Source organism: Homo sapiens, chromosome X, assembly GCF_000001405.40.
Source record: "Homo sapiens chromosome X, GRCh38.p14 Primary Assembly".
NCBI lineage: Eukaryota > Metazoa > Chordata > Mammalia > Primates > Hominidae > Homo > Homo sapiens.
In genome coordinates this window covers 101,445,303-101,462,013 of record NC_000023.11, presented here as the reverse complement: position 1 = coordinate 101,462,013, position 16,711 = coordinate 101,445,303, and the positions used below count along the sequence as shown (strand labels likewise).

General features: G+C 40.7%; 1 protein-coding gene across 1 annotated transcript in view; it reads right to left on the bottom strand.

The window, feature by feature from the left end:
- The window catches only part of ARMCX4 (armadillo repeat containing X-linked 4), a 117,711-nt gene that overhangs the window by 73,975 nt on the left and 27,025 nt on the right, over window positions 1-16,711 (bottom strand). Inside the window, exon 4 of the transcript NR_028407.3 lies at window positions 15,970-16,016. The gene's annotated coding sequence lies outside the window, so the exon portion shown is untranslated. The remainder of the gene's footprint in view (window positions 1-15,969; window positions 16,017-16,711) is intronic.

Sequence of the window (16,711 nt, the reverse complement as noted above, 5' to 3'; positions counted from 1 at the left end):
TTCAGTGAATTTTCTTTTGACATCATTGACCCACTGTTGGTCAGTAAGTCTGCCTAACATATCACAAATATAAGCCCCATTAGTTTGCAAATATTCTCTCTACTTTTCACATAACTTTTACCTTTTTTTCTGCAATACACAGTGTTTTAAATTTTTCAATAATGTTAATTAAAATTATACAGCTTTGTAAATTTAAAATTATTACAAAATAAAGTTTAGTTTTAAAAATAAATAATAAATCACACCCATTAGGATGGCTATTATTTAAAAAAAAAGAGAGGGAGAAAATAGTTAAGTGTTGGTGAGGATGTGGAGAAATTGGAACCCTTGTGTATTGCTTGTAGGAATATAAAATGGTGCAGCCACTGTGGAAAATAGTATGGCAGTTCCTCAAAATATTAGGCATAGAATTACCATATGATCCAGAAATTCCACTTCTGGGTATATAGCCAAAAGAAATGAAACAGAGACTTGAACATATATTTGCACACCCATGCTCACAGCAGCATTACTCACAATAGCCAAAAGGTAGAAACCACCAAATGTCCACGAATGGATGAATGGATAAACAAAAGACAGTATATCCATACAATGGAATATTATTCAGCCTTAAAAAGGAAGGAAAGTCTGTTACATGCTGACTCTGAAAACATTATGCTAAGTGAAAGAAGCCAGACACAAAAGGACAAAAGTGGTATGATTCCACTTGTATGAACTACCCAGAGTAGTCAAATTTATACAGAGAAAAGGATGGTGGTTGCCAGAGTCTAAGGAAAAAGAGAATAGGAAGTTATCATTTAATGGGTATAGAGTTTTATTCAAAATGAAGAGTTCTGGAGATGGACAGTGGTGATGGTTGCACAACAATGTGAGAGTACTTAATGCCACTGAGCTGTACACTTTAAAATGATTAAAATGGTAAATATTATGTTATATTGTACAAATAAATAAATAAAACAGTTCATTATAACAGAAATTGAGCAATACCATGGAGAGCATCAAGTGCCAGCACCCAGGGAAATCAGAGCATTCAGAGCCCTGGAGGCTTCAAACAGAAAAGCTTTAGAGTAATTTCAGTTTTCATTATTTAAGCCTCTCCTAACTACCAGCCCACACTCAAGGATAGGGATTATGCAAGTGCATGAACACTAGGAGGCATGGCTCATTGAGATCACCGTCTTAGAGGCTGCTTACCTCATTTGTCCATCTCTTTATATTGGCTACTGGGAAGGTTTCCTATATCATAAGAATTAGCTACATATATTAATAGTTTGCAAATATTTGCTGTCATCATTTTAGACAAGCTTTACTGATTTTTTGCCATATACTGTGTTTTAAATTTTTCAGTAATAATATAATTTAAAAGTAATATATTTCACTATTTTAAAAAACTAAGCCATACCCCGCCCAGCATCAGTTACCCAGACAGATTGGAGTACTTAGAGCCCTGGTGGATTCCAGACACCATGGGGAAAGCTTTACAGTAATTCCAGGTTTCACTACTAAGTAAGCATTTATAAGACAGTTTCCCTGATTTACTTAACATCTCCTAACTTCCTATACCCTGATCTGAATTACGGATTTAATAATAAGTAATTTGAATAGCTAAGATCAAGGGAGATCCCAGGAGCCTGGAGCTTAATCCCTCACCCACCAGGCTCCCCAGGGTAAGAGATGTGATGAAATCACCAATGCCCACATGAGCTGTTCTAAGGACCAGTGACTGGTTCCCTTACATTTTAGGAGAATGATATAGTGTCACCCCCTGCCTGAGTGAATGGCCCAGGTCATGGGCCTAGGTACACTGCAAACTCTGACCCCTTTGCTTTGACTCCAGGCCATGTACTTCCACCAATCCTCTCAGCTCAGTGCAATTCTCTATGTACCTTGTAAAGAATAAATGCTGTTTTGTTTATTTGTTTGTTTGTCTATTAGCCAGACCAGTGGTTCTCAGACTGTGGTCCCTAGAGCAGTAGCATCAGCATTACCTGGGAACTTCTTAGAAATGCATATCTTTGGGTCTCAACCAGATGGTCTGAATCAGAAACTCTAGGGGCAGGGCCCAGCAATTAGTGTTTATACACCTACAGATGATGCATGCTGAACTTTGAGAGCCTCTGCTCCACTCCATAAATGACTGATAGAGTTTTATATGTTATCACCTCTTGTGAGCCTCAGTCTCCTCAGTGGAGGTGACAGATCCCCCTGCTTTACCACAGTGGTGTGAGGAAAAAATGGGAAAACCTGTGCAGATAGTATCTGGTGATACTTCTGCATTGTAAGAGTAATTACCTTCTGGGGCTGAGAAAAAAATAGAAAATCCCTATGCCATTTCCTTTTTTAAAAAATTGTGTTTTCTTGCCCTCCTTATTTTACCTTTTACGTGACTCTAAGAGAGAACATAATGAGAAAATCAACAAAGAATGTCTGACACATAAAAGGACTTCACCAAATGTTAGTCCTGGCCTACCCTGCTTTCTTTCTCACATAAAGAGAAGACTTTGATATAAACTGCATAGAGCTATTATAGCTATTATAGCTACATAGCTATTATAGATAGCATCTGGAAATATAAGCAAGAAATGAAATATACAGGTAGGCCAGCTTCATGAAGGCCCACAGGCACCCAGGCACCCAGGCACCTGCCCTCCCCACTGCAGCCATTGCCAAGATTTATAAGAAGAAAGTCAATTCAGCTAAAGAGGTGCTAAATAAAGAGCCCAAGAGAAGATCTGAAGGTAGTCGTTCAAACCCGCTCCTGCAGAAGTTAAAATTAAATCATAAACAAAAGGCAAAGTAAAAGGATAAACCTTCAGTAAAAAGTACAAACATAAGGGAAAGGAAGGGCAAAAGGGAAACTCACTGGAGTGGCTAAACAAGACACTAAAGACGGCAAGAAAGGGAAAACATAAAAGGTGAATCTAGCCTCTGATGCAGCAGGATGGAAAGAAGCCAAGTCTGAATAGCATACTTATACCCAGTATTATCAGGGGTCCCAATACTTCCCTTCTACAATATAGGGGAATGGTTTTTATCAAGGACTTTGAAAATCCAAGTTTTTTAGTAGCTCCAGGAACACATTTTTAAGAAGGAAGAGATTCTACCCCATTCCATTTTAATTTTAATTTAATTTTATTTTATTTTATTTAGATAAGTATCAATGCTTTGTTTAGAAGAGGAAATCATGCACTAGCTGCCTAGTAAAGCTAGAAATTAGTAGGATATTGAGCCGGGCACAGTGGCTTACGCCTGTAATCCCAGCACTTTGGGAGGCCAAGGCAGGCAGATCACCTGAGTTCAGGAGTTCGAGACCAGCCTGGCCAACATGATAAAATCCCATCTCTACTAAAAACACAAAAATTAGCCGAGCGTGGGGGCGGGCACCTGTAATCACAGCTACTCGGGAGGCTGAGACACGAGAATTGCTTGAACCCGGGAGGCAGAGGTTGCAGTGAGTCGAGATCATGCCATTGCACTCCGTCTCAAAAAAAAAAAAGGGGGGGGATATTGAATTAAAGGAAGCTTTGACTGTCTTATGTGTCAACTTAACATTCCATAGGTTGGATGCAAGGGTAGTTTTTATTTCCTTTTATATGAAGCATAACGAAATGGTAATTTAGAATCACAATTTTGCAGTTAACATGTCATAAATATTTCAAATTACTTATTTATGTTATTTTACTAGTTACCAAGCAAGAAAGCTATCAAGGGCTAGTGGGGTTGTGTCAAAAGCATTCAGGAGCCAACTTGAAAATGATTGCAACAGCAAATTTGAGCATCATTAAAAATAACAACTGCAATGAACTGATGAGTCGAAACACATCGAATATGTTAAAACTCTAAGAATTCATAATAATATCAAAAAAAAAATCTTTATTGGCCACCTTTGAAGGATGATGCTAAGGGAATCCAAATTGCCCCTCACAGTGACCAGTTATTGAGAGAAATTTTCCATTTACAGAAGGTTTTTTAGGCCAGGCACAGTGGCTCATGCCTGTAATCCCAACACTTTGGGAGGCCGAAGCTGGTGGATCACCTGAGGTCAGGAGTTCGATACCAGCCTGGCCAACGTGGTGAAACCCCGTCTCTACTAAAATACAAAAAATAGCCGGGCATGGTGGTGCACACCTGTAGTCCCAGCTACTCAGGAGGCTGAGGCAGCAGAATCACTTGAACCCAGAAGGCAGAGGTTTCAGTGAGCCAAGATGGTGCCACTGCACTTCAGCCTGGGCAACAGAGTGAGACTCCGTCTAAAAAAAGGGGGGTTTGGGGGGTTTTGTTTGTTTGTTTTTGAGATGCAGTCTCGCTTTGTTGCCCAGGCTGGAGTGCAATGGCGCGATCTCGGCTCACTGCAGCCTCCACCTCCCAGGTTCAAGTGATTCTCTGCCTCAGCCTCCCGAGTAGCTGGGATTACAGGCATGCACCACCACACCCAGCTAACTTTGTATTTTTAGTAGAGATGGGGTTTCTCCATGTTGGCCAGGCTGGTCTCAAACTCCTGGCCTCAGGTGATCTGCCCACCTCTGCCTCTGTTGGGGATACAGGCGTGAGCCACTGCACCAAGGCCATTTTTTTTAACCAATAAATGAAGAAGGAATTACAGAAATTGAATATCACCATCTTACAAATCCCTAAGGAAATAATGAATCTAGGCTATGACCATTGATGGCCACTAACATCACAAAAAAGAGAGCTTCAGTCAGATAGTATGTACCTCTTGAAAGAAATACAAATAACATTTATGAAATATTCCTTCCAGAAAATCAAACCTGAATCAGAACAAGCCTCTAGATCTACCAGTTTACAGGAAACTAGGAAGCAAAATAATATGTTAATCAATACCACAGGGATGCAGTCAGTAAATTCCAGAATGTGGAAAATTTTACAGGCTAAATTAACCTGTTTTCTTCAACAAAGAAGTTGAAATAATTTTAAAATAAAGCTGGGTGTAGTAGCATATGCCTGTAATCCCAGCTACTTGGGAGGCTGAGGCAGAAGGATCACTTGAACCCAGAAGTTCAAGACCAGCCTGGACAACATAGCAAATCCCCACCTCAAAGTAAAATAAAATAATTTTAAAATAAAATTTTATTTAAAATAAATATTTTATTTAAAATAAAAATACACAGAGAACCAACAAATTAAGAGAAACTTTTAAAAAGTCAATAAAATACAATATATGGACTTTGAATCCTGTTTTAAACAAATTATAAAGGAAAAATTAGACAATTAAGAAAATTAGAACACTAAATGAAGATTTAATAATGTTAAGGAATATTGTTAATTGTTTGATGAATAATAATAACACTGAAGTTATGGATTTTTAAGTCCAAACTCTTTAGAAGGATTAAATGAGATTAGTTATGAGTTTATAATTGTTGAAGTTGGTTGGTGAGAATATGGCAATTCATTACCACTCTATTTTTATGTAGGTTTGAAAAAGCCCACAATAAAAAGAAGTACATATCTATAGTACTTTAAAATTCAACAATCAAAAAACAACACCATTAAAAATGGGCAAAGGACATGAACGATACTTCTCAAAAGAAGACACCTATGAGGCCAGCAAATAGATGAAGAAGTGCTCATCATCACTAATCATCAGGGAAATGCAAATGAAAACCACAATAAAATACCATCTCATACCAGTCAAAATGGCTTTTGTTAAAAAGCAAAAAAAAGAAAAACAGGTGTTGATGAGGCTGCAGAGAAAAGGGAACACTTATATACTGTTGGTGGGAATGTAAATTAGTTCAGCCACTATGGAGAACACTTTAAAGATTTCTCAAAGAACTAGAGTTGAACGACCATTTAACTCAGCACCCCATTACTGAGTATATATCCAAAGGAAAATAAATTGTTCTACCAAAAAGACACACACACCCATATGTTCATTGCAGCACTATTCACAATAGCAGACATGGAATCAACCCGGGTACCCGCCCACCAACGGTGGACTGGATAAAGAAAATGTGGTACATATTCACAATGGAATACTACACAGCCATTAAAAAAAGAATGAGATCATGTTCTTTGCAGCAACACCAATGCAGCTGGAGGCCATAATCCTAAGCAAACTAATGCAGAAACAGAAAACCGTATGTCTCGTATTCTGACTTATAAGTGGGAGCTAAACATTGGGTGCACATGGACATAAAGATGAAAACAACAGACACTGGGGAATACTAGACGGGAGGCTGGAGGGGGGCGAGGGTTGAAAAACTACCTATCAAGTACTGTGCTCACAATCTGGGTGGTGAGATGATTTATACACCAAACCTCAGCAACATACAATTACCCATGTGACAAATCTGCACATGTACCCCCGAAACTAAAATAAAAGTTGAGAAAAAAAGTATTCATATATCTTCTTTTTATACACAAAATCATAATAAACCATGGAGGAGCATTATCTTTTTGTGCCTTTGTTAAGATGCACATTGTGATAGCTGTGTAATTCTTAAGTAGATTATAAATTATCTTTAAAAGAGTTTAGTGGTAATAATCTAAAATTGTGTCATTACTTACTACAAATATGCTCTTTGTGGAGTATCTAATAAGATGATTTGCTTAATACCTTGAAAAAAAATACAAATAGATTCAATTAATGTCCTTACTAAGATTTAAGCTCATCACAGACATAAATGCAGCATTGGTCTAGTTTGATGGAAATGATTTGTCAAATGCAATAATGGGATCAGAAAAGAGAGTAAAATTAAATGTGTTCTGTAATTATATGTTTGCCTACTTGGAGACTTAGGACTGTCCACTTCCACTCTAATTCATAACTTACTGCCAAAGCACCATGTTTCCTATTACCTTGGGTCATTTGCACCTGCCATCCTTCTACCTGGAATCCTCTCATTTGTCCTCTACATTTGATGGGCTAACTTCTGCTTATCCTTCAAATCTCTTCTTTCCCACTGCAATGGTCTAAATGGGTCCCTCCTTCCCTCAAAAAATCCATATGTTGAAATCCCAATGCCCAGTGTGATAATATTAGGAGGTGGGGACTTTGAGAGGTAATTAGGTAATAAGCATGGAGCCCTCATGAATGGAATTAATGCCTTTATAAGAAGAGGCCAGAAAGCTAGTTTGCCCTCTTTCTACCATGTGAGAGTACAGTGAAAAGTTAGAAGTCTGCAACCCTGGGAAGAGGGCCCTCACCAGAGCCCAACCATGCTGGCACCCTGATCTTAGACTCCAGAAACGTGAGGAATAAACTCTTGTTGTTTACAAGCCATCCAGTCTATAGTACTTTGTTATGACAGCCCGAATTGACAAAGACATTTACTTTGGGAAGGATTCACTACCTCAATGGTGTGCTTAGAGTCAGCTTGGCCTGACTTACAAGAGCCAATTATGAACATCTCTTCCCAATTCTTTGTTCAGTGACATCAAGATAGTACCTTGAAATTGGCCATGATGAGCCAGGCGCAGTGGCTCATGCCTGTAATCCCAGCACTTTGGGAGGCCGAGGTGGGCGGATCACGAGGTCAGGAGATCGAGACCATCCTGGCTAACATGGTGAAACCCCATCTCTACTGAAAAAAAAAAAAATACAAAAACAAATAGCTGGGCGTGGTGGCAGGCACCTATAGTCCCAGCTACTCGGGAGGCTGAGGCAGGAGAATGGTGTGAACCCAGGAGGCGGAGCTTGCAGTGAGCCAAGATCACACCACTGCACTCCAGCCTGGGCGACAGAGCGAGACTCCATCTCAAAAAAAAATAAAAAAAAAAAAAGAAATTGGCCATGATGGAAGTATTTACACCATGGAAGTCAACAAACACTACAGATCAGAGCTTTTATTTTTTTCAGAGAACTGATTGTTAAACATTTTCCAACACACCACTGCCCTGCTCCTTCCCCACCCCATCCCAAGTGTGAGTTAAATGGCTCTGCTCTAGGCTCTGATAATGCCCTAAACTTACACCCATCACTATGTTCTGTAGGTTACTCATCAGTCTTCCCCTCCAGGCTGAAATTTTCTTGAGGGTAACGACGCTATATCTCTAAAACCTTACTCAACATCTGGCTTACAGAGGTATATAGGGAAGTTTAAACTTTCTAAAACTCTTCATGGTCCAGGCTCCCTCTCTCTCCTCCCTATCAAGCACCAGATACCTATCGTACTTGCCTCTCTGATTCACCCTCTTCTAGGCTGCCATTGCTCATCATCCTCTTATAATTAACATCAAGGGACTGCAATAGCATGCAGATCCAGTAATACCTGGCATAGCAGATTTCCACTCTGCTATGTGGATTTGGCATAGCAAATCCACTCATATACAGGAGATAGAAGTGGTACCACAAGCAGAGTTCTGGTGTAGAGGAGAACCCCTGTAAAACAGCTGTGACCAGAAGCCTCAGAGTTCTAGCACAGCTAGCCATCCTTGTCCGTGTCTACAAATTCTTAGACTGCTGGAAGTACCCCGGGAATTTCAAGAGTATTTAAGTCTTGCTACTCCACAGTCTTGCTACTCAAACTATGATATGAAGACAAGCAGTATCAGCACCACGTGAAAGCCTGTTAGACATGCAGCTTAGGCCCCACTCGGGACCTATTGGATAAGAGCCTGCATTTTAACCACATACCCCAGGTGATATGTTTACACATTTCAGTTTGAGAAGCATGGGTCTATAGAACATCAAATTTACTGAAACTGAGCAATTAGGGGCTTAGAGCCATGGAGCTCAGAGTATTAATGTTAGTGGCCCTTCATAATAACAAATACTATTTTTGTGTCATGAAAATATGGTAAAGATTTATATTCATTTTGGCATTTAATCAAAAAAGAACTCTATGACTTAGCAAGCTCAAATCAATGTAACCCTAAATCTTGAAAGCACACCATCTCAAAATGAAGCACCATAATAAACACCACAGTTAAACAAAGTCTGTATTTGAGTCCTTCCTGTTCCACTCACTAGTTGAGTGATCCTAAAAAAAACTATCTAACCGTTCTAACTGTTCATCTCCTTATCTGTAAAATGGTGATAATAGTACTTTATTTTCAGGGTGGTAATGAGAATTAAATAAGAAAACCTATATAAAGTAACCGGTGTGTTGTAATTGCTCATTCAATATAAGTTTTCTCCCTCCCTACTACCTCCTTTCTGAAAATAATAATAATAATAATAATAAAACAAACAGCCCAGCTGGGCGTGGTGGCTCATATCTATAATTCCAGCACTTTGGGAGGCCGAGGTGGGTAGATCCCTTAAGGTCAGGAGTTTGAGACCAGCCTGGCCAACATAGCGAAACCCCATCTCTACTAAAAATACAAAAATTAGCCGGGTGTGGTGGTGTGCGCCTATAATCCCAGCTACTCAGGAGGCTGAGGAAGGAGAATCACTTGAACTTGGGAGACAGAGATTGCGGTGAGCTGAGACTGCACCACTGCACTCCAGCCTAGGCGACAGAGTGAAACCCTGTCTCAAAAAACAAAAACAAAAACAAAAACAAAAACAAACAAACCAAAAAAACCAGCCCAACCATGTCATGGAGAACCTATGGAAATTTAACAGCAAAAAGGAAAATAAATAATATTTTGTACATTGTGTGATAACTTAATACTATTTCTGCATGATATAATGAGTTGTTCTGAAGGGACTAGTTGTGAAAATAAAATATAAAAGCAGTTGGAAGCCTCAAGACATTTAAAGACTTAAGAGAGATGTAACTGTGATCTGAGTCATGTAGCACGTATTTATAACTTCTGCTTCTTAGATCACAGATTAACTCTCTTCCTCATTGTTCTTGCTCTGTAAATAACTAGGAAAGATCAGAGACTAGACTTCCCCCTTCCAATCACTGATCTTTGTTATAGACCAACTGCCTCCTTTATTGTCCTGCATCTAACTCAGATCGGATAACACCCCCAAATAGGTACCCCATGACAGTTATATATTCGGTGTGGAATGTTAAATATACCTTTCCTAAAAGAAAAAGACCACCTTGACCAATTGTATCATTGTAATTATACATTAAGGCTTCCATAGAAAGACAATGAAATTCTGTTAAACTTCCCTGAACCTTATCTATATAAACGATCTTGAACTTCTACTCTTTGGAACACTGACTTGAATTCTTTGAAATCTGTGCTTACTGGGCAGGCTGTCCTCAACCTTTTCACTTGAATAAACTCCCAAACTAGATTGTGATCTTTTTGGTTATTTTACGTTGACATAGAGTTGAGAGAAAAAACATTACATTCTTTTTAAATGAATTGGTAGGATTTCCTTTCATTCTTTGGACTTTCTAGATCAGTGTCCAGAGTAAGTATTGTATTCATTCATGCTCTCTGGGAAGCACATTTTGGTCTTGTGTCTTCACCTATCAAAATACATACATGGAGAAGGACAGGGCAAGATGGCTGGATAGAAGGCTCCACTGATCATCTCCCCAACAGGAACACCAAATTTATCAACTACACAAAAAAGCACCTTCAAAAGAACTAAAAATCAGGTGAGTACTCACAGTACCTGGTTTTAACTTCATATCCCTGAAAGAGGCACTGAAGAGGGTAGGAAAGACCATCATGAATTGCTGATGGCACCCTTCCCCCATCTCCTGGCAGCAGCCACATGACATGGAGAAAAAATTCATGTGCTTGGGAGAAGGAGAATGCAGTGATCATGAGACTTAGCATTGAACTCAGTGATGCCCCGTTATAGCAGAAAGCAAAACCAGGCTGAACTCAGTTGATGCCTGCCCACAGAGGGAGCATTTAGACCATCCCTAGCCAGAGGGAAATTACCCATCCCAGTGGTCAGAACTTGAGTTCTGACAAGCCTTATCACCACAGGCTAAAGTGTTCTGGGGCCCTAAATAAACTTGAAAGACAGTCTAGGCCAAAAGGACTGCAATTCCTAGGCATGTCCTAGTGCTGAACTGGGCCCAGAGCCAGAAGACTGAGGGTCACATGACCTATTGAGACACAAGCCAGGGAGGCTAAGTGAACGCTTATGCCACCCCACCTCCAACCCCAGGCAGACAGCTCACAGCTTTAAAAGAGACTCTTCCTTCCATTTCTGTAGAGGAGAGGGAAGAGTAAAGAAGACTGTCTTACATCTTGGATACCAGCTCAGACACAGTAGGATAGGGTGCTGGGCAGAGTTGTGAGGCCCCTATTCCAGGCCTTAGCTCCCAAATGACATTTCTATACACACTGTGGGCCAAAAGGGACCCCACTCCCTTAAAGGGAAAGACTCTGTCCTGGCAGGACCCATCACCTGCTGACTGAAGAGCCCTGGATCCCTGAATAACCAGCAGCAATATCCAGAAAGTACACTATGGGCCTTGGGTTCTGAGATGTGCTGGTTTCAGGAGAGACCCAGCACATTGCCAACTCTGGTGGCTATGGTGAAAAACTGCTTCTGTTTGAGAAAAGCGGAGGGAAAAGTAAAGAGAACTTTCTCTTGCACCTTAGGTATGAGCTTGGTCCTTGGAAGTAGAGCACAAAGTGGGTTCTTGGGGTCCCTGATTCCAGGCCTTGCCTCATGGACAGCATTTCTAGACCTGCCCTGGGCCAGAGGGGAGTTCACTGCCCTGAAGGACGAGCCTCAGGCATGGAAGCACTCACTACAAGCTGACTGCACAGCTCTTGGGCCTTAAGTGAACATTGATGGTAATCTGGAAGTACTTCCCCATGGGCCTGTGGTGGCAGTGACCATGGAGTGAGGCTTATCTGCCTGTGGGAAGGGGAGGGAAGAAAGACACAAGCCTAACTGGCTTTGCCACCTATTGATTGTAGAGCCCTAGGGCTTTGAGCAAACATAGGTGGTAGCCAGGTAGTGGTTACAGAGGGCCTTGGGCAAGACCCAGTGCTGTGCTGGCTTCAGGTCTGACCCAGAAAATTATCAGTGGTGCTGGCCACAGGTGTACTTTTCTCGCTTAACCTCCAGCTCCAGGAGGCTCAGCACAAAAACAGAGAGAAAGAAAGAGACTCTGTTTGTCTCAGAGAAAGAAAGGGAAGAGAAAAAGAGTCTCTTCCGGGTAATCCAGAGAACTCTTCCAGATCTTATCCAAGACCACCAAGGTAGTACCTCTATGGGTCTGCAAGAACCGTAGTGTTACTGGGCTTGGGGTGCCTCCTAATGCATACAGCTTAGATCACAACGTCCAAGTCCCTTTGAATACCTGGAAAGCCTTCCCAAGAAAGATAGGTACAAATAAGCCCAGACTGTAAATAATACAATAAATACCTAGCTCTTCAATGCCCAGACACAGATGAACATCCACAAGCATCAAGACCATCTAGGGAAACACGACCTCACCGTACAAAATAAATAAGGCACCAGGCACCAATTCTGGAGAAAAAGAGACATGCTATCTTTTAGACAGAGAATTCAAAATAGCTGTATTGAGGAAATTCAAAGAAATTCAAGATAACACAGAGAAGGAATGCAGAATTCTACCAGATAAATGTAACAAAGAAATGGAAATAATTTAAAAGAATCAAGCAGAAATTCTGGAGCTGAAAAATGCAATTGGCATACTGAAGAATACATCAGAGTCCCTTAATAGCAGAATGGATGATGAAGAAGAAAGGATTAGTGAGCTTGAAGACAGGGTATTTGAAAATACAGTCAGAGGAGACAAAAGAAAAAAGAATTTAAATAAATGAAGCACAACTACAGGATCTAGAAAATAGTCTCAAAAGAGCAAATCTGTTATTGACCTTAACGAGGAGGTAGAAAAAGAGATGGGGTAGAAAGTTTATTCAAAGGGATAATAACAGAGAACTTCTGAAACCTAGAGAAGGTACCAATATCAAAGTACAAGAAAGTTATAATGGTGATTTGACCCAGGCGAGGTGGCTCACGCCTGTAATCCCAGCACTTTGGGAGGCTGAGGCGGGCAGATCGCTTGAGGTCAGGAGTTCCAGACCAGCCTGGCCAACATGGCAAAACCCGTCTCTACTAAAAATACAGAAATTAGCTAGTGTGATGGTGAACACCTGTAATCCCAGCTGCGTGGGTGAGGCACAAGAATTGCTTGAACCTGGGAGGCAGAGGTTGCAGCGAGCCAAGATTGCACCACTGCACTCCAGCCTGGGTGACAGAGCAAGACTCTGTAAAAAAAAAAAAAAAAAAAAGGAAAGAAAAGAAAAAAACGGCCAGGCGCGGTGGCTCTCGCCTGTAATCCCAGCACTTTGGTGGGAGGCCAAGGTGGGCAGATCACGAGGTCAGGAGTTCAAGACCAACCTGGCCAACAAAGTGAAACCCCGTCTCTCCTAAAAATACAAAAATTAGCCGGGCATGGTGGCATGTGCCTGTAGTCCCAGCTACTTGGGAGGCTGAGGCAGGAGAATCGCTTGAACCCGGGAGGTGGAGGTTGCAGCAAGCCAAGATCACTCCACTGCACTCCAGCTTGGGCAACAGAGTGGGGCTTCATCTCAAAAGAACAAAAAACAAAACAAAACAAAAAACCTACAATGAGATACCATCTTACCCCAGTTATACCCCAGTTAAACTGGCTTTTAACCAAAAGACAGGCAATAACAAATGCTGGCAAGGATGTGGAGAAAAGGGAACCCTTGTACACTGTTGGTGGGAATGTAAATTAGTACAACCACTATGGAGAATAGTTTGGAGATTCCCTCACAAAAGTAAAAACAGAGCTACTATGCGATCTAGCAATCCCACTTCTGGGCACATAATCAAAAGAAAGAAAATCAGTATATTGAACATATATCTGTACTCCCATGTTTATTGCAGTGCTATTTACAATAGCTAAGATTTGGAAGCAACCTAAGTGTCCATCAACAGATGAGTGGATAAAGAAAATGTGGTACTTATACGCAATGGAGTACTCTTCAGCCATAAAAAGAATGAGATCCTGTCTTTTGCAACAACATGGATGGACCTGGAGGTGATTATGTTAAATGAAATAAGCCACGCACAGAAAAACAAATATCGCATGTTCTCACTTATTTGTGGGAGCTAAAAATTAAAACAATTAAGCTCATGGAGATAGAGTAGAAGGATGGTTACCAGAGGCTGGGAAGGATAGTGTGTGGTGGGGAGGAAGTGGGAATGGTTAAGAGGTACAATAAAATAGTTAAAAAGAATGAATAAGACCTAGTATTTGCTAGCACAACAGGGTGACTATAGTCAAAAATAATTTAATTGTACATTTTAATAATAACTAAAAGAGTCTAACTGGACCGTTTGTAACACAAAGGATAAATGCTTGATGTGATGGGTACCCCATTCTCCATGAGGTGATTATTACATATTGCATGCCTGTATCAAAACATCTCATGTAACCCATAAATATATACACCTACTATGTACCCACAAAAACTAAGAATTAAAAAAAAAATTAAAACTTGAAAAAACCAGACACAAGCATAACAGACAGGAGGTAGCAGACACTGAATGCTGGGTGGGCAGCCGAGCTCCCAGACAGCCTTTTCCAATTCAGGGCCAACATCATCTAAGCGTCTTCTCTTCACATTTGTTTGTTTCATTATCAGATTGTTGTCTGACCACCTCTTCACCTCCCACTCTGTCTGTAGACATCAAGAGAAACCTTGTCAGGGTTTAGTCGATGTTCTTACTGTTATTTTCTCACCACTGGATCCTTTGGATTTAGCATAGGACCCAGCACTAAGTAGGCATGTTCAGAAAATATTTGTTGAATGAATAGGTAATAGGTAGGTAAAATTAAGGGGACTGTGGTGATTTAAAAAGATGTCCACAATTATTTGATATTATTCCCTCTAAAAGTGTATGCTAATTTCCTTCCCCTTAAGTATGGGTTGGACTTAGTGACATGCTTCCAACTAATAGAATCTGGCAAAAACAACAGTGTGTGACTAGATCATAAAAGACATCACAGCTTTCTCCTTTATCTCTCTCTCTTTCAGATCATTCCCTCTGGAGGAAGCCAGCAGCCATATCATGAGTACACTCAAGCAGCCCTGTAAAGAGACCCACATGATGAGGAACTGAAGCATCTTGCAAACAGCTCTGTGAACTGTCTTGGAAGTGGATCCTTTAACCCGAAACCTTCAAATGACTTCAGTTTCAGCTGACTTTTTTTTTTTTTTGAGACGGAGTCTCACTCTGTCGCCTAGGCTGGAGTGCAGTGGCGCAATCTTGGCTCACTGCAACCTCTGCTGCCCGGGTTCAAGCGATTCTTCTACCTCAGCCTCACAAGTAGCTGGGATTATAGGTGCCTGCCACCACGCCCGGCTAATTTTTGTAGTTTTAGTAGAGATGGGGTTTCACCATCTTGGCCAGGCTGGTCTTGAACTTCTGACCTCATGATCCACCCGCCTCAGCATCCCAAAGTGCTGGGATTACAGGTGTGAGCTGCCACAACTGGCCTCAGCCAACCTCTTAATTGCAACCTCATGAGAGACCTGAAGCCCAAAACACCCAACTTAACCACTCCTAGATTCCTGACACTCAGAAATATGTGAGATAATAAAAAATTATTATTTTAAGCAGCTAAGTTCGGGGGTAAGTTGTTATGCAACAGCAGATAACTCATAAGGGACTTTCAAACAAATTGCTCCCTTCAAAGGGCAGATATATACCACTACAGATACTAGTGGAAGCAATGTAGGAAGTTGCCATTTTATGCCCCCTTGTTTTATTCTGCCCACAGTACATACCACATGTCTATCCTTCTTCATGTATTACTCAGTCAGCTTCTATGAAGGCCCTAGCATAGCTTACAGGTAAAATTGAATGAGCAAAATGAACACACTTGCTTATGAGACCATTAAAAAGGGACTAAAAATCTGCTCAAAAAAAACCAAGAGACAAGAAATCAGGGTGGCTGAAGAAATAAAAAGTGGTTTCAAAGAGGAAGTAAAAACATTTTCAGTATATTCTGCAGGAAGTAAAATTGTTTTTCTAATCAACAAAAAAAATATCAATTGAGAAATACTAAATTAGAAACAAATGGAAGAGCCAACATTATATGTAGGAAATTTTCCTATCCAACTCACATAAGCTTCCACAAATTTGAAGATGGTGCTATCAGCAGTAAGGTCTTCTGCAACAGAAGGAAAAAATGTAATCACAATCAATAAAGACAACTGTCAATTGGAAATAAACATGTGTTTGTGCCTACTACGTGCCAAGCAAGGGAATCTGCATGGGGAAAGGTGGCTCACTTTAACTACATCCAACTTTGTAGCTACCACCCAAGTACAGAACTCTCCTCCCCAGGGTAGGCGCCACATACCCACCCTCTCCTCTTTTCCCTCCTCACATCCTCCCTCCACAAAATAGATAGGGGTAGGGGAAAGGAATCTGGAAATAGAGCTGGAGGGGCAAATTTATGCCAGTGCTGCTAACGAGACTTCATAATAATAAACACCATTTATGTAACTTGAACATGTATTCAAGATTTATATTCATTTTGTAATTTAACACCAAAACAACTTTATTCCTCCACCCTTCTCTAATCTCCAGCAATCTGTTTCTTTAACAAAGACAAGGCTGGCAAGACACTCTCCTCAAGACTTGTTTTCTTCTCCTCTAAAACTGGGTACCAATGCTCTTTCATGGGTTTGATCTGAGGATGTGGTGACATCATGTGTGTGCCAAGGCCAAGCCCTGTGAAAATTCAACCCTAGCATGCTAAAGCATTGTGGAAAAATGAAGGAGTCTTTTGAGGGAGCAGAAAATTGTGCCATTTGCCAAGAGCACAGAGTTCCTGGAAAACAGGACTGAAAATGTGGTCTT